The sequence below is a fragment of the Homo sapiens genome, chromosome 8 (genome assembly GCF_000001405.40).
Source record: "Homo sapiens chromosome 8, GRCh38.p14 Primary Assembly".
NCBI lineage: Eukaryota > Metazoa > Chordata > Mammalia > Primates > Hominidae > Homo > Homo sapiens.
Window position 1 is genome coordinate 48,023,528 of NC_000008.11, and position 24,959 is coordinate 48,048,486.

General features: G+C 42.8%; 1 protein-coding gene across 3 annotated transcripts in view, besides 3 other annotated features; it reads left to right on the forward strand.

Moving 5' to 3' along the window:
• UBE2V2 (ubiquitin conjugating enzyme E2 V2) overlaps positions 1-24,959 on the forward strand; it is a 67,272-nt gene that overhangs the window by 26,091 nt on the left and 16,222 nt on the right. For all 3 annotated transcript variants that reach the window (XM_017013808.3, XM_011517583.4, NM_003350.3), the window contains exon 2: positions 19,506-19,654. In XM_017013808.3, the coding sequence (XP_016869297.2) occupies positions 19,506-19,654 (149 nt within the window). The remainder of the gene's footprint in view (positions 1-19,505; positions 19,655-24,959) is intronic.
• Positions 11,189-11,689: an enhancer, noted in NCBI's record as "H3K27ac hESC enhancer chr8:48947276-48947776 (GRCh37/hg19 assembly coordinates)". NCBI's record gives its function as "activates a minimal SCP1, AML or CMV promoter by ChIP-STARR-seq in primed H9 embryonic stem cells {active_cell/tissue: H9 hESC(primed)}" and the evidence as "EXISTENCE:reporter gene assay evidence [ECO:0000049][PMID:30033119]".
• Positions 11,690-12,190: an enhancer, noted in NCBI's record as "H3K27ac hESC enhancer chr8:48947777-48948277 (GRCh37/hg19 assembly coordinates)". NCBI's record gives its function as "activates a minimal SCP1, AML or CMV promoter by ChIP-STARR-seq in primed H9 embryonic stem cells {active_cell/tissue: H9 hESC(primed)}" and the evidence as "EXISTENCE:reporter gene assay evidence [ECO:0000049][PMID:30033119]".
• Positions 24,569-24,769: a silencer, noted in NCBI's record as "peak7010 fragment used in MPRA reporter construct". NCBI's record gives its function as "represses an SCP1 promoter by STARR-seq MPRAs in K562 erythroleukemia cells {active_cell/tissue: K562}" and the evidence as "EXISTENCE:reporter gene assay evidence [ECO:0000049][PMID:32103011]".

Consider the following 24,959-nt stretch of genomic DNA (forward strand, 5'->3'; position numbering starts at 1 on the left):
TGATAGAAGTGGATATGAGGCATTCAAACTAGAATAAACAGTAACATTCAGTGTTCAGGCTGGGCGCGCAGTAGTGGCTTACGCCTGTAATCCCAGCACTTTGGAAGGCCAAGGCAGGAGGATCACTTGAGGTCAGGAGTTTGAGACCAGCCTGGCCAACATGGTGATACCCTATCTCTATTAAAAATGCAAAAAAAAATTAGCCAGGCATGATGGTGCTTGCTTATAGCTCCAGCTACTTGGGAGGCTGAGGTGGGAGAATCACTTGAACCCAGGAGGCAGAGGTTGCATTGAGCCAAGATTGCGCCACTGTACTCCAGCTTGGGTGGCAGAATGAGACCCTGTCTCAAAAAAACAAACAAAAAAAATCAATGTTTGAAAGTTTGTTTCAAACGTAGTTCACTTTTTCAAAGGCTCTTTTTCAAAGAGCTGATTAAAATAAGTTTGACATATGTAAGATGGGACTTCAGGACTGGGTTTGGGAGTGCTTTATTCTTGTTTATAAAGTCTTAGCTGATTTGTGTGAGAGCAGATGGTATTTTCAGTAAGCTGGAACTCAGCAGCTGTTTCAAACCTTAGAAGGAGATAAATCCTTGTGGCTGTGTATAGGTACTTTTAAATAGAAATAGAAAAAACAGTTTAATAGAATATATGTTATGGATTGCCTGGACTCTAGACCAAGTTCATTTTATAGATGAGCAGTAGAAATACAGATATGAAATGGCTTTTGCAGGATTTTTTAGCTAGATGTTGAGTCCAGAGCTGGTATCTTGATTTAAGACTCTTGGCTGGGTATGGTAGCTCATGCCTGTAATCCCAGCACTTTGGGAGGCCAGGGTAGGTGGATCACCTGAGGTCAGGAGTTGGAGACCAGCCTGACCAACATGGAGAAACCCCGTCTCTACTGAAAATACAAAATTAGCTGGGCATGGTGGCACATGCCTGTAATCCCAGCTACTCAGGAGACTGAGGTAGGAGAATCGCTTGAACCTGGGAGATGGAGGTTGTGGTGAGCCGAGATCGCGCCATTGCACACCAGCCTGGGCAACAAGAGCTAAACTCCGTCTCAAAAAAAAAAAAAAGAGATTCTTAAATACTGCTTCTGTATCACACTGTATCCTACGTATGCCTTGGTTGCTTTTATTTCCTGGAAACCCAGTGATGTTATTTTACAGATAAATGCTGTTAAGGATCAAGACAAAATACTTGATAGAGTCTAAAGGCATTAATAGAATATTAAAACTCCATGTTCTTTTAAGGTGTGAAGGATTTTATTGAAATGAGTAACAAAAATTTAGAAAAAGCGATTTCAGTGGCTAAATGCTGGTCAATATTCACATAAATCTTTTTTGTAAGCACATATTTGGTATTGCAGGTAAATACATATATATTATTTGTTCCCTTACTGATTTTTTTTTTTTTTTTTAGAACGAGTCTTGTTCTGTTGCCCGGGCTGGAGTGCAGTGGTGCAATCTCAGCTCACTGCAACCTCCGCTTCCTGGGTTCAAGTGATTCTCCAGCTTCAGCCTCCCGAGTAGCTGGAACTACAGGCGTGTGCCACCACGCCCGGCTAGCTTGTTGTATTTTTAGTAGAAACGGGGTTTCACCGTGTTAGCCAGGAGATGGTCTCGATCTCCTGACCCTCATGATCTGCCTGCCTCGGCCTCCCAAAGTGCTGGGATTACAGGCGTGAGCCACCATGCCTGGCCAGTGATTCTTATAAATCTGTGATTTTCTTTTCTTTTCTTTTTTTTTTTTGAGATGGAGTCTCACTCTGTCATCCAGGCTGGAGTGTAGTGGTGCGATCTCGGCTCACTGCAACTTGTGCAGGGTTCAAGCAATTCTCCTGCCTCAGCCTCCTGAGTAGCTGGGATTACAGGTGTGCACCACCACACTTAGCTGATTATTATTATTTTTTTTTTGTATTTTAGTAGAGAAAAGGGTTTCACCATATTGACCAGGCTGGTCTTGAACTCCTGACATCAAGTAATCTGCCCGCCTTGGCCTCCCAAAGTGTTGGGATTATAGGCGTGAGCCACCGTGCCTGGCCTAAATCTGGATTTTCTTTTTTTTTTCTTTCTTTTTTTTTTGAGATGGAGTCTTGCTCTGTTGCCCAGGCTGGAGTGCAGTGGCGTGATCTCGGCTCACTGCAAGCTCCGCCTCCTGGGTTCACGCCATTCTCTTGCCTCAGCCTTCCGAGTAGCTGGGACTATAGGCACCCGCCACCACGACCGGCTAATTTTTTTGTATTTTTTGTAGAGTCGGGGTTTCTCCGTGTTAGCCAGGATGGTCTCAATCTCCTGACCTCGTGATCCGCCTGCCTTGGTCTCCCAAAGTGCTGGGATTACAGGCGTGAGCCACCGCACCGGGCTCTGGATTTTCTATCTGAGGTTTATCTAAGGGAGGCGAGGGAAAGGGAGGTTATTGGGAGTGTTTTAAGTGTTTGATAGAAACGTATCTCTGTATCAGAGGTAGAATTTACAACCTGATGAGTTATCCTAAACATTTCAGTATTGCAGCTGTTATTCCTAAAGTGACCCTTTAGAATATTTAGTACTGTTCCTTTCTTTTTTTTTTTCATTTTATTCTTCCTTTTACCTACTTCCCCAAGTAGGCTGCCTCTAGATAAAACTGTATATTATCGGGTAGGAAGAACTTGGTTCCAGGAGTTTTGGGACTGGGAAGATTGGACAACAGCTATGTAACCCGGGCTTCTTATTCTCTCTAGGGCTTATGAAGTGGTTACTAAAATCTAAAGTTCTATGGAAAAGGGCCAGTTTCCTCTAGGATTTGACCACACCTTTGAGGGATGCTTCATAAGAAAGCTGAACTTCTGGTGGATGGAGATGTAAATGAATATTGAGTTTGGTTTCAGGGAGCTGTTGTTTCAAGACAACTTTACTGAGATATAATTCACATACCATACAGTTGTCTATTTAAAGTGTACAATTCACTGATTTCTGGCATGTTCACAGATATATGTAACTGTGGTCATTTTAGAACATTTTATCACCTCAGAAAGAAACTCTGTACCCTTTAGCTCTCACTGTTCTATACCTCCAAACCTCAGCCCCTGACTACTATAATCTGTCTCAATAGATTTACCCATTCTGTACTTTCATATGTGTAGATTTATATATTATGTGGTCTTTTGTGACTGGCTTCTTTCACTTAGCGTAATGTTTTTAAGGGTCATCCATGTTGTAGCATGTATCAGTATTTACATGTTTTTATGGCTGAAGAATATTCCAGTGCATTGGATACACCACATTTTTGTTTATTCATTCATCATGTTGGTGGTGTTTTCCACCATCTGGCTATTGGGAATAAGGCTGCTGTAAACATTTATGTACACGTTCCACCCCCGCCCCGCTTGAGTAGATACCTAGGAGTGGAACTGCTGGGTCATGTTAACTATGTTTAGCTGTTTGAGGAACTGCTAGGCTGTTTTCCAAAGGGAGACTTCTTTTTTTTCGAGACGGAGTCTCGCTCTGTTGCCCAGGCTGGAGTGCAGTGGTGTGATCTCAGTCCACTGCAACCTCAGCCTCTTGGGCTCAAGTGATCCTCCTGCCTCAGCCTCCCACGTAGCTTGGATGCCACGTAGCTTGGATGACAAGCCTGCGCTACCATGCCTGTCTAATTTTTGTGTTTTTAGTAGAGACTGGATTTTGCCAAGTTGGCCGGGCTGGTCTTGATCTCTTGACCTCAAGTGATCTCCCTGCCTTGAACTCCCAAAGTGCTGGGATTACAGGCATGAGCCACTCTGCCCGGGCCCAAAAGGAGACCATTTTATATTCCTACCAGCAGTATATGAAGGTCCCAGTTTCTCCACATCCTTACCAACACTTATTATCTGACTTTGATTGTAGCCATTCTAGTGGGTGTTAAGTGGTATCTCATTGTGGTTTTGATTTGCATTTCCCTGATAACTAGTGTTATTGAGTATCTTTTCATGTGCTTACTAGTTTTTATTTATTTATTTAATTTTTTGAGACAGGTTCTTGTTCTGTTGTCCAGGCTGGAATGTAGTGGTGCAGTCTTGGCTTACTGCAGTCTCCACCTCCTATACCCAAGTGATTCTCCTGCCTCAGCCTCCTGAGTAGCTGGGACTGCAGGCACGCGCCTTTATGCCTGGGTAATTTTTGTATTTTTAGTAGAGATGGTGTTTCACCATGTTGCCCAGGGTGGTCTTGAATTGCTTGGCTCAAGTGATCCACCTGCCTCAGCCTCCCAGAATTGTGGCATTACAGGCGTAAGCCACTGCACCTGGCCCTTTACTGGCTATTTATATATCTTCTTTGGAGAAATGTCTATTCAGATTCTTTATTCATTTTTTTTTTGTTTTTGAGACGGAGTCTCGCTCTCGCCCAGGCTGGAGTGCAATGGCGCGGTCTTGGCTCACTGCAACCTCTGCCTCCTGGGTTCAAGCGATTCTCCTGCCTCAACCTCCCAAGTAGCTGGGATTACAGGTGCCCACCACCACGCCTGGCTAATTTTTGTATTTTTAGTAGAAATGGGATTTCACCATGTTGGCCAGGCTGGTCTTGAACTGCTGACCTCGTGATCTGCCTGCCTTGGCCTCCCAAAGTGCTGGGATTTACAGGCATGAGCCACTGTGCCTGGCCCCTTTACTCATTTTTATTTATTTATTTATTTTTGAGCTGGAGTCTTGCATTGTCATCCAGGCCGGAGTGCAGTGTCATGATCTCAGCTCACTGCAACCTCCATCTCCCAGGTTCAAGTGATCCTCCCACGTTAGCCTCCAGAGTAGTTAGGATTACAGGTGTGTGCCACCACACCCGGCTGTTTTCTTTTTTTTTTTTTTTTTGAGACAGAGTTTCGTTCTCGTTGCCCAGGCTGGAGTGCAATGGCGCAATCTTGGCTCACTGCAACCTCTGCCTCCTGAGTTCAAGCAATTCTCCTGCCTCAGCCTCTCAAGTAGCTGGGATTACAGGCATGTGCCACCACACCTGGCGAATTTTGTATTTTTATTAGAGATGGGGTTTCACCATGTTGGTCAGGCTAATCTCGAACTCCTGACCTCAGGTGATCTGCCCACCTCGGCCTCCCAAAGTGCTGGAATTACAGGCGTGAGCCACTGTGTCCAGACCAACACAGCTAATTTTTTTTGTAGTTTTAGTAGAGACGGAGTTTCACCATGTTGGCCAGGCTTGTCTCAAACTCCTGACCTCAAGTGATCTGCCTACCTCGGCCTCCCAAAGTGTTGGGATTACAGGTGTGAGCTACTGCACCCGACCCCTTTACCCATTTTTAAATTGGGCTGTTTGTCTTTTTATTGTTGAGTTATCGGAGTTCTTTATGTATTCTGGATACAAGTCCTTTATCAGATGTATGGTTTGCAAGTATTTTCTTTCATTCTGTAGATTGTCTTCACTTTCTTGATGTTGTCCTTTGGAACCCAAAAGTTTAAAATTTTGATGAAGACCAATTAATTTTTTTTCTACTTCATTTAAATGCAGATTCTGGCTTTTTGTATGTAGCTCATCATCTAGCTGGTACTTTGTTTTAAAAACAATAATGTTCAGGCCAGGTGCAGTAGGAGGCCAAGGTAGGCAGATCACTTGAGGTCAGGAGTTTGAGAGCAGCCTGGGCAACGTACCGAGATCCTGTCTCTACAAAAAAATAAAAAAATTAGCTGGGCACAATGCTGTGTGCCTATAGTTCCAGCTCCTCAGGAGGCTAAGGCAGGAGGATCACTTGTGCCCAGAAGTTCGAGGTTGCAGTGAGACATGATTGTACCACTGCCCACCAGCCTGGGCAACAGAGTAAGACCCTGTCTCTAAAATGAACACACAAACATCAGAGAACCATGTTTCATGCAGGATATGGTCAGAAACTAAAATATAAATGAATAAAAACAACCTGATGAAGTACTGTGAATTCTAGTTGATGCTCTGGTTGTGATTACTGTATGACAGAAGGGCAGGAGTCTGAGCTCTTCTTGCCAGGTGAGGTTTAATCTCACTAAAAAAAGTTCGATAGCCAGATACCATGCATACTGTAAACAGTTTTATTCTTTGGAAGTAGTATAATTATGCCAGAGGTTTTTCAATTTATGGATTGGAATGTTCTTGAAAAGTACAGACAGTGCATTGCTTGGTGTACTGCTCTTCATGCCATTGTCATCTGCTACCTAAATTATTGATTGTTGTTTACTAAACAGTACTGATGTAAATGGTTATGTCCTCAGAGGAAATACTTATGTTATTGAGAAGTCTTTAATTTTCTCAAGTTTTTACCTCATAAACAGTGATTTGGAGAGATATCTGTTTATTTTGCTTAATATGGCTTTCTGACTGTGGAAGCCAGCTACAGCTTCCTGGACTCACAGGTGAGCAGTTATGCCCATTTAATAGTCTCCGTTAGAAGACCTCACATCTTTTAAAGTGCATGCCATCCTAATTTTACTTAGAAATTAAAACTAGAGAGGAACCAGAATATATTAGCTTACTTAACTTTCTTCCACTCCCTAGTGTATTCTAAGGGAAGTCTCCCTTGATAGTTCTGCAATAAACATTCTTAGCTACCTCACTGGAGAATGTGAAGTAACTGCTACATTCATTGGCTTATCTCATTGGGATATCTGTAGTGTATCCAGGTGAAATCTTCTGCAATAACTTACTGCATTATATTTGGATGTATTCACTTACATGGTTGTCTTCCCCACGAGATAGTAATGTCCTGGGGAAAGGATTCTGTGTTCAGTATCAGCAACATCTGCTGTCAGTTTATACATATTGAGAGAAAGATTAAAAACAAACATTTGCCATAAATTCACCAGGTGTTTATCAAGTGCCTGTTGTGTCATCATTTTCTATGGTACAGTTTCTTTCTATGTCAGAGATTTAATAATGAGAAAATAAAGGACTCAAGTAAAACCTAGCTTTTCAGGCTGGGCGCAGTGGCTCACGCTTCTAATCCCAGCATGTTGGGAGGCCCAGGCAGGCAGATCACTTGAGCCCAGGAGTTCGAGACCAGCCTGGGCAACATGGCGAAACCCTGTCTCTACTAAAAATACAAAAATTAGCTGGATGTAGTGGCATGCGCCAGTGGTGCCAGCTACTTGTGGGGCTGAGGTGGGAGAATTGCTTAAGCCTGGGAGGTGGAGGTTGCAGTGAGTTGAGATCGTGTACTCCAGCCTGGGTGACAGAGTGAGACCCTGTCTCAAAAACAAAAAACAAAACAAAAACTGGCTAGGCATGGTGGCTCACTCCTGTAATCCCAGCACTTTGGGAGGCTGAGGTGGGCGGATCACTTGAAGTCAGGAGTTTGAGACCAGCTTGGCCAACACGGTGAAACCCCGTCTCTACTAAAAATACAAAAATTAGCCAGGAGTAGTGGTACATGCCTGTAGTCCCAGCTATTTGGGAGGCTGAGGCGGGAGAATCTCTTGAACCTGGGAAGTGGAGGTTGCAGTGAGCTGAGATTGCACCATTGCCCTTCATTGTGGCTCTGGGCCACAGAGCGAGACTCTGTCTCAAAAATAAAAAACCAAAACACAAAAACAAAAATTAGCCAGGTGTGGTGGCAGGCACCTGTAATCCCAGCTACTTCGGAGGCTGAGCCAGGAGAAGCACTTGAACCTGGGAGGCAGAGGTTGCAGTGAGCTGAGATGGTGCCACTGCACTCCAGCCTGGGTGACAGAGCAAGACTCTGTCTCAAAACAAACAAACAAACCCCCCCCAACAACAACAACAAAAAAACAACTTAGCCTTTCCTTTTTGTAGATTGTAATATTTCACTGTTTTATTTTTAGTTTGCTTTTCTGAAGTAAAACTACTAAAAGAATATTTTAGTTCATATATATTCATTAAATCTAAAATCATGAAGCCGCTTATTTTCCCCTTATCTAGCTGAGTTAATATCTAACAAATAGATTCTAAATGAACTCTCCATATAGGTGGTGATTTTTTGGCAGTGGCTGGGGGTAGGGTGGTTTTGGTTACAACCTAAAGAGTAACAGTAGTATGATTAATTTCTCCTGTATGTAATGTATTCTCCACACCACAGAATTGAGATACTTTGCAAATCCTCTAATCCAGAGGTTTTTCCACTTGTGTTTGAAAGTGTAGTACAGATGCTTCAGATGTACGAAGTTTGACTTGAATTTGTTTTTTTCTTTTTTGAGACGGAGTCTTGCTCTGTCACCCAGGCTGGAGTGCAGTGATGTGATCTTGGCTCACTGCAACCTCCGCCTCCCAAATTCAAGCGATTCTCCTGCCTCAGCCTCCCGAGTAGAGGTGTGTGCCACCACTCTCGGCTAATTTTTTGTATTTTTAGTAGAGACGGGGGTTTCACCATGTTATCCAGGATGGTCTCAATCTCCTGACCTCATGATCCACCCGCCTTGGCCTCCCAAAGTGCTGGGATTGCAGGTGTGAGTAAATTTTGTTTTTATAAATTACATTTTTTTCTGCTATATTTCATCAATTCTAAAACACATTGAAATATCCGAAGTGGATATATGTGTTGTAGTTTAATTGGTAGAGTGTTTAAATTTTTTAAAATTATGGTATCATGTAGTTGGTTATGCCATCTTAGATTTGATCAAAGACAGTATTTAAAAAAACTGTTAAGATGCCCACATTGAGGTGAATATATAATAGATTTCAAATACTGGATTCTACAAACATACTGACGTGTTCTCATTTGTTAACTGAATACTAAGCAATTGTGATCAATTTAAACTTAAATGTATTCTATTGAAATATATTTTTAATCTCATACAATTTTTTGAAATATTTTAGAGGCTAAAGTTGAAAATTGGTTTATCTGGTAAACCTTCATTTCAGCAAAAGAATATTACCTTCTGATTTTTTTTGGTGAATTATATAAATATAGTTTTTAGTATTAAATCTATTTGTATAAATTCACAGTGTCTGAATGATGGATGTATTTCAAATTTAAAGTTCAGAAAAAGTGTAGCTGGGCATGGGGCTCACACCTATAATCTCAGTACTTTGGGAGGCTGAGGCAGGAGGACCCCTTGAGCCTGGGAGTTTGAGACCAGCCTGGGCAGCCTAGCAAGACCTTGTCTCTACTAAAAATATTTTAAAAATTAGCTGCGTGTGGCGGTGCATGCCTGCAGTCCCAGCTACTCTGGAGGCTGACGTGGAAGGATCTCTTGAGCCTAGGAATTTGAGGCTGTAGTGAGCCATGGCGACAGAGTCCCTGTCTCAAAACAAACACGCAGACACACATGCACACACACCCCAGCATATGCTTTGATGTCAATAATTGTGTATTATTGACATTATTGACATTATTAATGTCAACAAATAGTGTTCTTGAGAGTGGGGTTGTAACTGATGTTTTTGAAACAGCCAGTGGGGGTTATGGGCCCAGTTAGGATTCTGGAACAGTTTTCCTGAGTGTAGAACTGTGGTGGGGCTTATGATTCATACTCATTTCTTTGCTGGATGAGTGTTAAAAGCGGATAGGATGGCAGACCCACTCAGCAAGGAATTCCACTGAGGATGCCTTGAAAGGAGCAGGGGCATACCATCCAGAGTACAAGACAGAGTAAAGTTATCACATGAAGGACTCATTTGCTTGAAAAGACTTGACTTTTCTTAGTGTCCTCAGATATTCTAACAACTTTACAAGGCAAAAAGACTCAGTGATTTTTTTTATTCTTTTTCCATTTTTTTTTTCCTGAGACGGTGTCTTTCTCTGTTGCCCAGGCTGGAGTGCAGTGGTGTGATGTCAGCTCACTGCAACCTCTGCCTCCCAGGTTCAAGCGATTCTCCTGCCTCTGCCACCTGAGTAACTGGGATTATGGGCTTTCACCACCACGCTGGCTAATTTTTGTATTTTTAGTAGAGATGGGGTTTCACCGTGTTGGCCAGGCTGGTCTCGAACTCCTGGACTCAAGTAATCCTCCTGCCTTGGCCTCCCAAAGTGCTGGGACTACAGGCATGAGCCACCACACCTGGCTCATTCCTTGTTTTTTTAAAATAAAATTTATTGTGTGTATTTAAGGCATATATATCATGTTATGAGATATATAGGAAAATGGTTACTATAGTGAGTCAAATTAACATATTCATCATCTTACAGTTACCTGTTTTCCTCCCTGTGGCAAGAGCAAAAATCCTGACTATAGCAAACTCTTATTAAAAGTCCTCATGGCTGGGTGCGGGCTCATATCTATAATCCTAGCACTTTGGGAGGCCGAGGCAGGCTGATCACTTGAGCCCAGGAGTTCGAGACTAGCCTGGGCAACATGGCAAAACCCCGTCTCTACAAAAAATACAAAAATTACCTTGCATGTTGGCATGCGACTGTAGTCCCAGCAACTTGGGAGGCTAAGGTGGGAGGATCGCTTGAGCCTAGGTGGATGAGGCTGCAGTGAGTTTTGATTAAGCCACTGTGCTCTAGCCTGGGCAATAGAGGGAGACCCTGTTGCTAAAAAAAAGAAGAAAGTCCTCATGCTGTTCATTAGATCTGCAGACTTGTTCATCCTACATACCTGCTACTTTGTATCCCTTGGTCTATAGCTCCCTATTTCCTTTCCAGCTCCAACCTTGGTAACCACTGTTTTTATTCTGTCTTAATATTTGACCTCTGTTTTCTTTTCCTTTTTTTTTTTTGAGATGGAGTCTCGCACTGTCACCGGGCTGGAGTGCAGTGGTGCCATCTTGGCTCACTGCATCCTCCACCTCCTGGGTTAAAGCGATTCTCCTGCCTCAGCCTCCCAAGTAGCTGGGATTACAGATTCCCGCCACCATGAAGCCAGGCTAATTTTTTTGTATTTTTAGTAGAGATGGGGTTTCACTATGTTGGCCAGGCTGGTCTCGAACTCCTGACCTTGTGATCCCCCTGCCTTGGCCTCCCAAAGTGCTGGGATTACAGGCGTGAGCCACCGCACTTGCCCTGTTTTCTTTTTTTAAAGATTCCTCACTCCCAATGAATTTTAAAAGTCAATTGTAGTTTGTCTTTGGATCCATACTGATGTATACATGAGAGTTTTTTTTAGAATTATGATCAAAATATATGTGCTGCTATTAGGTCTCCCCCACCCCCCCTTTTTTTTTAACTTATACACAATTAATATAATTCATGTAGTTTAAAATGACTTTATATAATATTTTAAATTATGTGACATAGTTTGCCTGAATGTATACCAATTGGCTTCTTAAGTTTTTGCACTGCCAAATAAACATTTTTGTTCAGATTGCTTTTCCAACCCCCCTCCCTTCATTTATTTATTGCTGTGTAACAAATTACATCAAAACTTTGTGGCTTCAAACGATGATTGATTTTTTTCTTATAATATGGGAGTTGACTGGGTGGTTCTTCTGCTGGTTTCACTTAGAGTCACTCATGTGGTTGCATCAGCTGGTGAAGGGATAGGCTTGTTGCCCGGGACGCCTTGCTCCCCCTCCCTGCAGCCTCTCCAGGTGGCCAGTTAGGACTTCCTCACATCCCGGTGGTGTCAGGGTGTTCAGAATTCTTACATGATGGTTGGCTTCCAAAAGAACGAAAGCAGAAGTTAGCATTCCTCTTACAAGGTGAGTGCCAGAACTGGCCTTAGCATTGCTGCTTCCCTATTTATTCTTTTTTTTTTTTTTTTTTTTTTTTTGGAGGTGGAGTCTCACTCTGTCGCCGAGGCTGTAGTGCAGTGGCACAATCTCAGCTCACTGCTACTTCTGCCTCCCGGGTTCAAGCAATTCTCATGTCTCAGCCTCCAGAGTAGCTGGGACTACAGGTGTGCACCACCATGCCCAGCTAATTTTTTTTTGGTATTTTTAGTAGAGACGGGGTTTCACCATATTGGACAGGCTGGTCACAAACTCCTAACCTCAGGTGATATACCCACCTTGGCCTCCCAAAGTGCTGGGATTACAGGCATGAGCCACCGCGCCCTGCCACTGCTCCCCTCTTCTACTGATAAAACAGGTAGGAAGGTTTGCGCAGCTTCAAGGGGAGGAGGGGTGTGCCTGGGCCTGGAGGGTGGAGGATGGCTCACAGCACTCTGCAGGCATTCTGCGCCCTGTTTTTTTGTCCTGAGGGGAAATTTCACAAAGTAGCATTTAAGTCAAATCACAATACATATTTAAAAATTATTGTTTTTTTTTTTTTGTGTGTGTGTGTGTGTGTGTGTGTGTGTATATGTATGTATGCTTTTTTTTTTTTTTTTTTTTTGAGACTGGGCCCGGGTTCAAGTGATTCTCCTGCCTCAGCCTCGCAGGAGCTGGAATTACAGGTACATGCCACTATGCCAGAGCTACTCAGGAGGCTGAGGCAGGAGAATCACTTAAACTCATGAGGCGGAGGTTGCAGTGAGCTGAGATCATGCCGCTGCACTGTAGCCTGGGTGACAGAGTGACACTCCGTCTCAAAAAAAAAATTGGAAGTTGTATACCTTGTAATTATTACTTTTCTCCCCTTGCCTTTCTTTTTTTTTTTTTTTTTTTTGAGACCGAATCTCACTCTGTCACCCAGGCTAGAGTGTGGTGGCGTGAACAAACATGGCTCACTGCAGCCTCTACCTCCCAGGCTCAAGTGATCCTTCCATGTTAGCCTCCGGAGCAGCTCAGACTACAGCTGTGCACCACCATGCCTGGCTAATTTTTGCATTTTTTTGTAGAGATGGGGTTTTGCATGTTGCTCAGGCTTGTCTTGAACTCCTGGGCTCAAGCGATCCTCCCACCTTGGCCTCCCAAAGTGTTAAGATTACAGGTGTGAGCCACCACACCTGGCCAATTAAAAAAAAAAATTTCTTAGGATAGGGTCATGTCTGATGTTCTTAAGTAGTGCTCCAAATGAAATGAAGGAATATTAAAGGAGGAGGAAAATCAGACTTCACTTACTAGTGGGAGGAATAGCAAAGAATTTGTGGCCATCTTTAATTTGGTATAGAGTATAATGATTCTTGACTCAAAAAAATATATATTTTTTGAGACAGAGTCTCACTCTGTCACTGAGGCAGGAGTGCAGTGGTGCGATCTTGGCTCACTGCAACCTCTGCCACCTGGGTTCAAGAAATTCTCCTTCCTCAGCCTCCTGAGTAGCTGGGATTACAGGCACGCACCACCACGCCGGGCTAATTTTTTGTATCTTTAGGCTAGAGACGGGGTTTCATCATCTTGTCCAGGCTGGTCTTAAACTCCTGACCTTGTGATCCACCCGCCTTGGCCTCCCAAAGTGCTGGGATTACAGGCATGAGCCACTGCCTGGCCGACTCAAAAATATTTTTTCAATTGATGTTGATACATAATATTTTACATATTTTGTGGGGGTACATGTGATCTTTCATTGTGTGCATAGAATGTATAGATCAAATCTCAGGGTATTTGTGGTATCCAGATTCTTGACTCATGACAGATAGTTAATATATATGAGCTGGCCAGGCGCGGTGGCTCACGCCTGTAATGCCAGCACTTTGGGAGGCCAAGGTGGGCGGATCACAAGGTCAGGAGTTTGAGACCAAGCCTGGCCAACATGGCGAAACCCCGTCTCTACTAAAAATACAAATATTAGCCATGCATCGTGGCAGGCACCTGTAATCCCAGCTACTTGGAAGGCTGAGGCAGGAGAATCACTTGAACCCTGGAAGCAAAGGTTGCAGTGAGCCGAGATCGTGCCATTGCACTCTGTCCTGGGCGACAAGAGCAAGACTCTGTCTCAGAAAAATACGTATATAGGTTATGAAGTTTTAGGAAGTGACATTTTGGGCATCACAGGGATTGGTTGTTTCTTTTAGAATCAGTCTATGAAAGGATAAGGCTTTAGAAATAATGTGTTTCAGCAGGGATTCTGACTAGGGATAGAGGTGGGGGAAGGAAGCAAAGTGATAGGATTTCTCCTTTCTTTTGCCTCTTCTCCCCAGGGCAGTGGGTTGCCTTCCTGTACTAGGCTCTTGTGTGTTGGTCATTGAGATATATTGGGGTAGACAAAAAGTTGTATGTATACCACTGATACAGTTTAGTAGAAGTATGCAAAGTATAAAAAGAAAGCACTTTGCTCAGTCATCTGGTTAGGTTCTTAGTAGAGCAAAACTCTCGCTTTATGATGTTACCTCCTCCTTCTTACGCTTCTCCTTCTCTAATTGTGGTTTCTGTGTCTTGATGCCCTGCTGAACTTTAAGCTCCACAAGAGCAGGACTTTGACTATCATGGCTAGATCATGGGCCTAGCCACAATTCTTTGGCTCACAGTAGACATTTGGTGCTGTTAAAATGGAAATAAATAAATAAAACCAAAGAATTACAACAGTAAAATGAACCACAACTTTGTCTCAGTTAACTGAGTGCTTAACACTTCTTCCCTGATCATCCTGTTTCTTGGTCTTTTATAACAGCTGATACTTTTCTCCTCCTCTTACCTCCCAATCCATTCCCACGTTGCAGCAAAGTGAAGTTTATGCTTAAAACCCCTCCCTGAATCCTCATTGCTGCAGATAAAGGCTGAATTGCTAAGGGTGCCCTTCCAGGCCATTTCTGACTCTTTGCTCTCATACTCAGTTGCAGTCCCCAAACATTGCCCAGCATTCTCTCTCTCTTTTGTAATGTCCTCCCCACGCCTTTTTTGGCTCCACCCGTCCAATCCTCCCTTTTCTTTTTAAATAAAATATTTCAAACACCAGGAAAATACGTGAATACACATATACCCACCCTGGCTATTCACATTCTAATAAATTCTTGCTTCAGATTGTTTTTTGGAAACAGAACATTTCTAGTACATTTAAAGTCCTATTTTCACTTCTTAGTCCTAGGCCACTTTCTCTTTGCCCAGAGGTCATCAATATCCTGATTTTTATTATTTGTATTTATTTATTTATTTTGAGACAGAGTCGGACTCCGTCACCCAAAATGGAGTGTAGTGGCGTGATCTTGGCTTACTACAACCTCTGCTTCCTGTGCAAGTGATCCTCCCGCCTTAGTCTCCTGAGTAGCTGGGACTACAGGTGCGCACCACCATGCCCAGCTAATTTTTTTTTTTTTTGAGACAGAGTTTCGCTCTGTCTCCCAGGCTGGAGTGCAGTGGCACAATCTTGGCTCACTACAACCTCTGCCTCCCAGGTTCAGGTGATTCTCCTGCCTCAGCCTCCCAGGTAGCTGGGACTACAGGCGCACGCCACCATGCTTGGCTAATTCTTTTGTGTTTTTAGTAGAGATGGGGTTTCACCATGTTGGCCAGGCTGGTCTCGAACTCCTGACCTCAAATGATCCGCCTGCCTCAGCCTCTCAAAGTGCTGGGATTACAGGCGTGAGCTACCATGTCCAGCCACCCAGCGAGTTTTTTGTATTTTTAGTAGAGACAGGGTTTCACTGTGTTGACCAGGCTGGTGTTGAACTCAAGTGATTTGCCCATCTCAGTCTCCCAAAGTGTTGGGATTACAGGCATGAGCCACCACACCTGGCCCAATAATCCTGATTTTTTTTTTTTTTTTTTGAGACAGAGTCTTGCTCTGTCACCCAGGCTGAAGTGCAGTGGCGTGATCCCAGCTCACCGCAACCTCTGCCTCTTGGGTTCATGCGATTCTCCTGCCTTAGGAGAATTTTTAGTAGAGATGGGTTTGTATTTTTAGTAGAGACGGGTTTGACCATGCTGGCCAGGCTGGTCTCGAACTCCTGCCCTCAGGTGATCCACCTGCCTTGGCCTCGTAAAGTGTTGGGATTACTGGCGTGAGCCACCGTGCCTCGCCCGACCCCTGATTTTTAAATATCTTTTCCACTAACACCTTTATACTTTTTGCTACATATGTATATATGTATAAAAACTATGTTTATTTATAGCTTCTATACCAGTTTATTCTAATCTCAGCAGTGAATGAACTTCCAATATCTACACGTTTGCCCAGATCAAGAATTATCAGACTTAGTATTTGTCAGTTTGGTGGCTAGAATAAGCCGTTATGATTCCCTGATTACTGATGAGGTTGAACATATTTTTATGTTTGTTGGTCATTACTGTTTTCTGTAAACCTTATTCCTAATATGTTCTCATTGTTCTCTAGGGTTTTCTTTTCCTTGTTGATTTCTAGGAGGAATTATTTCTGTATTTTGAATAACGTTCTTGTCTTCTATATGTTATTCACATCCTTTTTCAGTCTGTGGCTTATCTTTTCATTTAATCTGCCTATAATTGATTTTTATGTATACTATGAGATCAGATTGGGTTCTAATTTTATTTTTTCATATTGGTAAAGTGTTCCAACACCATTAACTTTTCCTACTTTTTTTTTCCTTCTCTTTTGAGACAGGGTTTCACTCTGTGGCCCAGGCTGGAGTGCAGTGGTGTGATCACAGATCACTGCAGTCTTGACCTCCCTGGGCTCAGGTGATCCCCACCTTCTGAATAGCTGGGACCACAGGCATGTGCCAGCTACCACACCTGGCTAATTTTTGTATTTTTTGTAGAGATGGGGTCTTGCCATGTTGCCCAGGCTGGTTTCCAACTCCTGGGCTCAGTTGATTGGCCTACCTTTGCCTCCCAAAATGCTGGGTTTACAAGTGTGAGCCGCCACCATGCCCAGCCTTTTCTACTTTTTTTTTTTTTTTTCTTTTGAAATAACTTCAGATTTGCAGAAAAGTTAACATAAGTAGTACGAAGGATTCCCATATACCTTCATGCAGATCCATCAAATGTTGATGTTTAACATTTTTGCTTGCTCTTGTGTGTACTCTCTCTTCCCCCCTCCCTTCACATTCGATTTTGTTTTTTGGGGGAACCATTCAAGGGTAAGTTAACAGATACTGTCTCTTCACCCCTACATTCTTCAACTAGGACATTTTCTTACAATAGAATTATCAAAATCAGGAAATTAATGTTGATAGAGGACTATTATCTACCAGCCCTATTCAGATTTCACCACTACTGTTCTTTAAAGCAAAATAATGATAATAATATTTTTCCTGATACCAAGATTGCATTTGGTTGTCATGCCTCTATTCTCTTTACTGACTTTTAGTGTTGCCTCTACTAAGAAGCACATTTTCATATATGATATGTCTGCTTTGGGGCTTTTCTTTTTCATTAGTCTGTCCATTTCTGTACTGATTCCATATTTTCTTAATGATTTCTTTAGCTGATGAGGAAGTCTTAAAATCTAGGAAAGTGTCCCCTCTGTTTTTTCTTTTTTTGTTTTGTTTTTGTTTTTGAGACAGTCTCGCTCTGTCTCCCGGGCAGGGGCTTGATCTCGGCTCACTTCAGCCTCCACCTCCTGGGTTCAAGCGATTCTGCAGCAGCCTTCCAAGTAGCTGGTTGGGATTACAGGTGTGCACCAGCATGCCTGGCTTATTTTTGTATTTTTAGTAGAGATGGGGTTTCATCATGTTGGCCAGGCTGGGTTTTTTTTTTTTTTTTTTTTTTGTGTGTGTGTGTGTGTGAGACAGAGTCTCACTCTGTCACCCAGGCTGGAGTGCAGTGGTGCGATCTCGGCTCACTGCAAGCTCTGCCTCCTGGGTTCACACCATTCTCCTGCCTCAGCCTCCCGAGTAGCTGGGACTACAGGCGCCCGCCACCACGCCTGGCTAATTTTTTGTATTTTTACTAGAGACAGGGTTTCACCGTGTTAGCCAGGATGGTCTCGATCTCCTGACCTCGTGATCTGCCCACCTCGGCCTCCCAAAGTGCTGGGATTACAGGCGTGAGCCACTGTGCCCGGCCTTTTTTGTTGTTTTTTTTTTTTTTTTAAGACAGAGTCTCGCTCTGTCGTCTAGGCTGGAGTGCAGTGGTGCGATCTCGGCTCACTGCAGCCTCCGCCTCTGGAACATTAAATGTTCCAGACCAGTCTGGCCAACACGGTGAAACTCCATCTTTACTAAAAATACAAAAATTAGCCGGGCATGGTGTTGCACGCCTGTAATCCCAGCTATTTGAGAGGCTGAGGCAGGAGAATAGCTTGAACCTGGGAGGTGGAGGTTGGCTCGGCTACAGAGCGAGACTCTGTCTCACACACACAAAATAACACAGCAGGTGTATGAGGAACATTAAATGTCTTTCCTAACTTACTGTATGCAAATAAAAGTAGATACTTAAGAAATTGTCTAAAAATATTTAGTAAACCCATTTCTACACAGACAAATTAAAAGTTCTGAGAAATCAGGCTAAAATCACCTCAAATTTATAAGGTTTGATTAATAAATATTTACCTTTGCATATACACGAAAGCAAAAAAAGGTAGGAATACTTTCAATTTCAGATAACAATAAATTGAAATCAAGTACAAATTTTGACTCCCCTTCCTAAACTGAATAAACTCTTAAAAAGCAGACACACTTTACTTGTGTAAACACTCTTCTTTTTTTTTTTTTTAAATGGAATTTCTCTCTTGTTGCCCAGGCTGGTGTGCAATGGTGTGATCTTGGCTCACCGCAACCTCCACCTCCCGGGTTCAAGCGATTCTCCTGCCTCAGCCTCCCGAGTAGCTGGGATTCCAGGCATGTGCCACCATGCCCGGCTAATTTCGTATTTCTAATAGAGATGGGGTTCCTCCATGTTGGTCAGGCTGGTCACGAACTCCCAATCTCAGGTGATCTGCCTGCCTCGGCCTCCCAAAGTGCTGGGATTACAGGCCCAGCCGTATCCACTCTTTTAAATTTAGGCATCCATGTCACTGGAATTATGTTTTTCACAGGATCACTTTTAAATTCATTAAGAAGTTTCTTTATGTATATAAGCCTATTCATTTTACTTGAAAGGTTTTCTGTCTTCCCAAAGTCAAATCCTTACTAACTAAAATTAGGAATTTTGAAAAACCATCCATGAAAATCTCACAAACACATTAAAAAATGTATTATCTAAGGTGCATAAAATTAAACTCCATATTACCAATAGCATTTAAGAAACTCATATAAAATGATAATGTTTTCTTTAAAGAGACATACTGAAAGCCAAGTCAGTTGTTCACAGGAGGTGGTTTTGCACCATTATTTGAACTTTGATGTGTGAATTTGCTTTAGAAGTCCATGGTCTGTTTACTCTCTGACAGATTCTGTTTTCACATGCCCCTCACATGAAGGTTCACTCCTCATTCTTTTTTTTTTTTTTTTGAGACAGGTTGGGTGGGACTGCTTCAGGATTCTAAAAGACAGTACCTTCTGGTGCACTTTCTAAGATGGAACATAATTCTACTCTTTGAAAATCATTAGAGAGTATATATTAATGAACTTTGGCTTCTATGAACTTTCTGGGCATGCCTGTTTGATTGGTGCAGAGTCCTTGGCTGTAACAGAAACATCAAATAGGGAAAACGATTTCCTTATGGTTGATTGACTTACATCAGTATAAAATTGATGAGGAATTTATATACACGTTGTATACTGCTGTTAATGTTTGGTACAGTGCTTTCTTTAGTGTTTTCATTTTGAGGGGTTATTAGATTCAGCATTTTCTGGAGCAGAATGCTTTTTAAAGGGGATTTGGTCTTTTTGGGAAATAATTTATAAAGGTTAATTTGGAAAAAGCTGAATTTAAATACGTGTAGCTCTTATAATTATGAGCTTTTTACATTTACACTGACGTTCTTTTGTATAGGAGTTAAAGTTCCTCGTAATTTTCGCTTGTTGGAAGAACTTGAAGAAGGACAAAAAGGAGTAGGCGACGGTACAGTTAGCTGGGGCCTTGAAGATGATGAAGATATGACACTTACAAGGTGGACAGGCATGATTATTGGGCCACCAAGGGTCAGTGTTATAAATTATATTTTTTCTATTAATACTTATTGTTAAAGTTAGCATTTAATTTTATACTATTGATATTAAAATAAGCAATTATGATAACTTCTAAAATAGTTCCTTTTTATTTTGTTTACATTTATTGATGCTTCCCACGTGCAGGATATAATGCTCGATTACGTAGAGGATTGGGGGGAGGAAGGTTGATATGGTCATTGCCATCAAAGTTTTGCAGTTTAGTAAGGGAGAAAAAATCAGTACAAATGACAGATTCTAAATATGACAGAGCAAGTTCACTACGGGACTTTAGAATATGTTTCTTCTAGCTGGAATAATTGAGGAAGGCTGAACAGTGGAGGAAGTTGCCTTTGGAATGATCCCTAAAGGACTGACTGGTAGGATTTCAGAAGGTGGTGATGGGGATGGAGAACATTCCAGATAGAGAGGAGAAAAGGTGAGGAAATGGAGGGGGTATGTGGGGAGAGCAGTCATTTTGACGTAACATGTTACCTCTTGTGTGAACCTGAGGGTTTCTAAATTGGTTTGCATTGAGTGCATGTTGCTATTTGCCCTCTGACACTTCACATGCCATAGAAATGCTGTAGGTCTCAGCTTCTTCATCTATAAAAAGTCTATGATTCTTACATTTTTTTCTAGTATGGTTGGCAACTGGCCCATTGTACTTTGTCTTTCTTGGGTTTATGAAGTTTTATTTTTACTCAAAGTCTTTTAGTCTTTTTTTCTAGCTTGGGATTTTTTTTTTTTTTTACATTGCATTCCTTACTTAATGGTCCCATCCACTGCACTCCCTGCAGTGAATCTTTGAAATTTGTCTCTCTAATGTTTTTGGCTTGTTGGAAAGAGCACACATTTGAAGGGTTTTTTAAGTCTTTGGTTTTGTATACTGGTTGCTACCTTATGATGAGAGCATTTTAACTGTTTTGCTCTTGGGTAGAGTTTAGAGTTCCTCCTGATGATGATGATGATGATGATGATGATGATTATTGAGACAACATCTTGTTCAGCCACCCAGGCTGGAGTGCAGTGGTGTGATCTCAGCATACTGCAATCTCAGCCTCCTGGGCTCAAGCGATCCTTCCACCTCAGCCTCCTGAGGTGGTGTGCACCACCACTGCTGGCTAATATTTGTAGTTTTTGTAGAGATGGGGTTTCACCATGTCGGCCAGGCTGGTCTCGAACTCCTGGCCTCAAGTGATCCACCTGCCTTGGCCTCCCAAAATGCTGGGATTACAGGTGTGAGCCACTGCACCCAGCCCCTCCTGATTATTACAAAAGAAAAATGTATCAGGTAATTAGCAACATTAATTATAGAGAATGAATTAGTGTGTGTTTTATGTTGTTTTCTGGTGTTCCTTTGCAAAATTCATGCACACTCCTACACTGATAGGCTCCCTGTTTACTCCCTTGCTCTATTTTTTCCTGAAGACATTTTAGGAAGGAAATATAATGTTGATATGTTGATGGATAGAGTTCCATATGACTTGGTATATATAATGGAAGCCTTGATTTTCACTGCCTGTGAACATCATTACTGTGGTCTGTTTGGTTTAAAAAAAGCGCTTATAATTGATGAACATTCTGACTTACTGATTTGAAGATTTAACAGTCAGAACTTGGTAGAATATAAATTTGAAATTATTTAGATTTCGTTTTTCTCTAGCCACTGCCTGCAGCAGACTTTAAGAATGTTTTGGAACTTGTGATGAGTTCATCAGTGGTCTTGTGGGCTGACCCACAGCACAGTTCCTAGCTGTCGTGGACCGGTTCCTGCTTGGTCTTTCACCCGGTTGGGGTCCCCTGCAGGATGCCCCAACTAGTTGCCATTCCTGGTGTCACCGAACCTCAGGAAACTCTATCCACTGGGATGGGGGTGAAGGCTGCTTCTCTGCAACTCTCTCCCCTCTCAGGGCACACAGACAAAATGCTACTGTGGTCCTCCATTCCCTGTGGGTGGTGGTTTTGGAGCTGCAGGAGAGAAAAGGTCATAATAGCCTTTCCTCACTTGTCTCAAGCTTCACGCTGAGGCACTTATAATAAAAAGCAGAGAAAAGCATACAAATTTATTTAAGTTTTACATGACATGGGAACATTCAGAAAGGAAGACCCAAAGAAACAGGGAAACCGTGTATTTTTATGCTAAATTTGATGAAGAGTGGACAGTGATGCAACAGCGTGATTGGATCTGATGGTAACACACTAGGTAATAAACTGGGGGAACTTACCAGGGCCTGTTTGTTCACATTATTCCTGTGTCTTTGGATTTCATTCCTTTCTTGGCATAAGACAAGACCCCTTTGGAGTGGTTCTCATGACCTACCTACTTCGTGGGGAGGTCAGCTAGATTTTAGGGTCTGCTTCAGGGGAGAAGGGGGCGAAGGTAAGGTAAGAGTAACCTTGCTTCTGCTGTTTTCTTAAGTGCCAAGGTGCCGTATTTTGGGATAGTATGTCCTGAACCTCATCAGAGACCCCCTCACTTCCTTTGAGTGCCAGGCAGAGGTAGGAGGGTGTGCCCTGCAAAGGCACAGGCTTCTTCTGGAACTGGCCTCTGCTCACCACCTGATGATCTTCTCTGCATCACCTTCTCAGTTCTCTTGAAGGCAGGTCACAGCAGGCATATTCAGTTGCCTTTTCATAAAACAGGCAGGAGTTGGTATCTTACCACAGTTGTTTTCTCCTTAGAAGGTGCAATGTTGAGAACAATTTTGTCCCCAGGGTAGAGTATCTACATCTAGCCAGGAGAGGAGGAAGACTTTTTTGTTTGTTTGTTTTTGAGACAGAGTTTGGCTCTTGTTGCCCAGGCTAAAGTGCAATGGTGTAATCTCAGATCACCGCAACCTCCGCCTCCCAGGTTCAAGCGGTTTTCCTGCCTCAGCCTCCCTAGTAGCTGGGATTACAGGCATGTGCCACCACTCCCAGCTAATTTTGTATTTTTATTTTTTTTTTTGAGACGGAGTCTTGCTCAGTCGCTCAGGCTGGAGTGCAGTGGCGCCATCTCGGCTCACTGCAAGCTCTGCCTCCCGCGTTCATACCATTCTCCTGCCTTAGCCTCCCGAGTAGTGGGACTACAGGGGCCTGTCACCACGCCCTGCTGATTTTTTGTATTTTTAGTAGAGATGGGGTTTCACCATGTTAGCCGGGATGGTCTCGATCTCCTGACCTTGTGATCCACCCGCCTCGGCCTCCCAAAGTGCTGGGATTACAGGCGTGAGCCACCGCGTCTGGCCTAATTTTGTATTTTTAGTGGGGACAGGGTTTCTCCATGTTGCTCAGGCTGGTCTCAGACTCCCGACCTCAGATGATCCGCCCACCTCGGCCTTCGCAAAGTGCTAGGATTACAGGCGTGAGCCGCCGTGCCCGGTTGAGAGGAGGAAGACTTTTAACATGTTACATGGTTCGTTGTTTTTTATTTTTATTTTATTTTATTTTGAGATAGTCTCACTCTGTCAACCAGGCTGGAGTGTAGTGGCCCGATCACACCTCACAGCCTGGACCCCCTGGGCTCAAACAATCCTCCCACCTTAGCCTTCTGAGTAGCTGGGACTATAGGGGTACACCACCATACCTGGCTAATTTGTGTGTGTGTGTGTGTAGAGATGGGGGTCTCACTGTGTTGCCCAGACGGGTCTCAAACTCCTGGGCTCAAATGGCCCACCTGCCGTGGCCTCCCAAAGTGCTAGGATTATAGGCGTGAACCACTGTGCCTGGCCAGTTGTTTTTTATTTTTTGTACTTTATTGACTAAGGTCCCTCTTTTTTTTTTTTTTTGAGATGGAGCTTTGCTCTTGTTGCCCAGGCTGGAGTTCAGTGACACTATCTCGGGCTCACCGCAACCTCTGCCTCCCAGGTTCAAGTGATTCTCCTGCCTCAGGCTCCTGAGTAGCTGGGATTACAGGCATGCGACACCATGCCCGGCTAATTTTGTATTTTTAGTAGAGATGGGGTTTCTCCATGTTGGTCAAGCTGGTCTCGAACTCCCAACCTCAGGTGATCCACTCCCTTCGGCCTCCCAAAGTGTTAGGATTACAGGTGTGAGCCACCATGTCCAGCCAGATCCCTCATTTTTTATGTTGTTCTAGTATTTATTTGGATTTATATGATTAGCAGTTTTGTTTTTCTATGTTTTTGTGTTCAGTTTTCTGAAGCAATATTTGTTGTCACTAGAGTTTAGTACTTTTTCAAGTTTTCTCATATTTAATGAAGGTACTGTCCCCATCTTTAAAATAGAAACAGTGTGAGAATTAAGTGAAATAATGATTAGATAATAGGAGAATACCTGAGTACTTGACTTAGTAAATATTAGTTTGTTTTTCTCCTCTTTTTTTTGCTCTTGCTTTTTATTAGATAACAGAAAAACTTGACTGTTAATTAAAATTTTTTTTTTTTTTGAGACAGTCTTGCTTTGCCACCCAGGCTGGAGTGCAGTGGCGTGATCTCAGCTCACTGCAGTTGCCACCTCCCGAGTTCAGGTGATTCTCCTGCCTCAGCCTCCCGACTAGCTGGGATTACAGGCGTGTGCTACCAATTTTTGTATTTTTAATAGAGACGGGGTTTCACCATGTTGGCCAGGCTGGTCTCGAACTCCTGACCTCAGGCAGTCTGCCCGCCTTTGGCCTCCCAAAGGGCTGGGATTACAGGCATGAGCCACCACACCCAGCCTGTTAATTTAAAATTTAGAGGGGATAAAATCAAAGGTGTCAGAAGTTAGGGTGATATTTACTGTAAGAATTGGATTAGATTAATAGGCTAGCTTTGGGATTAAATTTTTTTTTGTTTACATAAAATCTTTCAGAAAAGAGCTTTGGGTTTTTTTTTTTTTTTTTTTAAACAAAAGGAATTGAGGTAGAATTTACATGTAGTGAAATGCACAGATGTGCCATGAGTTTGACAAATGTAGCTTGTTACCCCTACTGAGATACAGAACATTCCTGTCATTCCAGAAAGCTCCCTTTGCGCTTTCCCACACCTGAGAGATTTGCGTGTTGTAGAGCTTTGGTAAGTAGGGTCATGTAGTGTGTACACTTACGGTTCTTTACTCAGCATGAAGTCTGAGCAATTCAGTTGTGTTATCTCATGTAGTAGGAGTGTGTTTCTTTTTATTGTTGAATAGTATTTTACTGTATGGATATACCACAATGTGTTTATCACTTCTTTTTATGGACATTTGGATTTAATCTACTTTCTTGCTTTTACAAATAAAGCTGCTATGGGCATTCTTGTAGAAGTCTTTTTGTGAACATGTGTTTGTTTCCATTTCGCTTGGGTAAATGCCTAGGAATAGAATTGCTGTATCATAG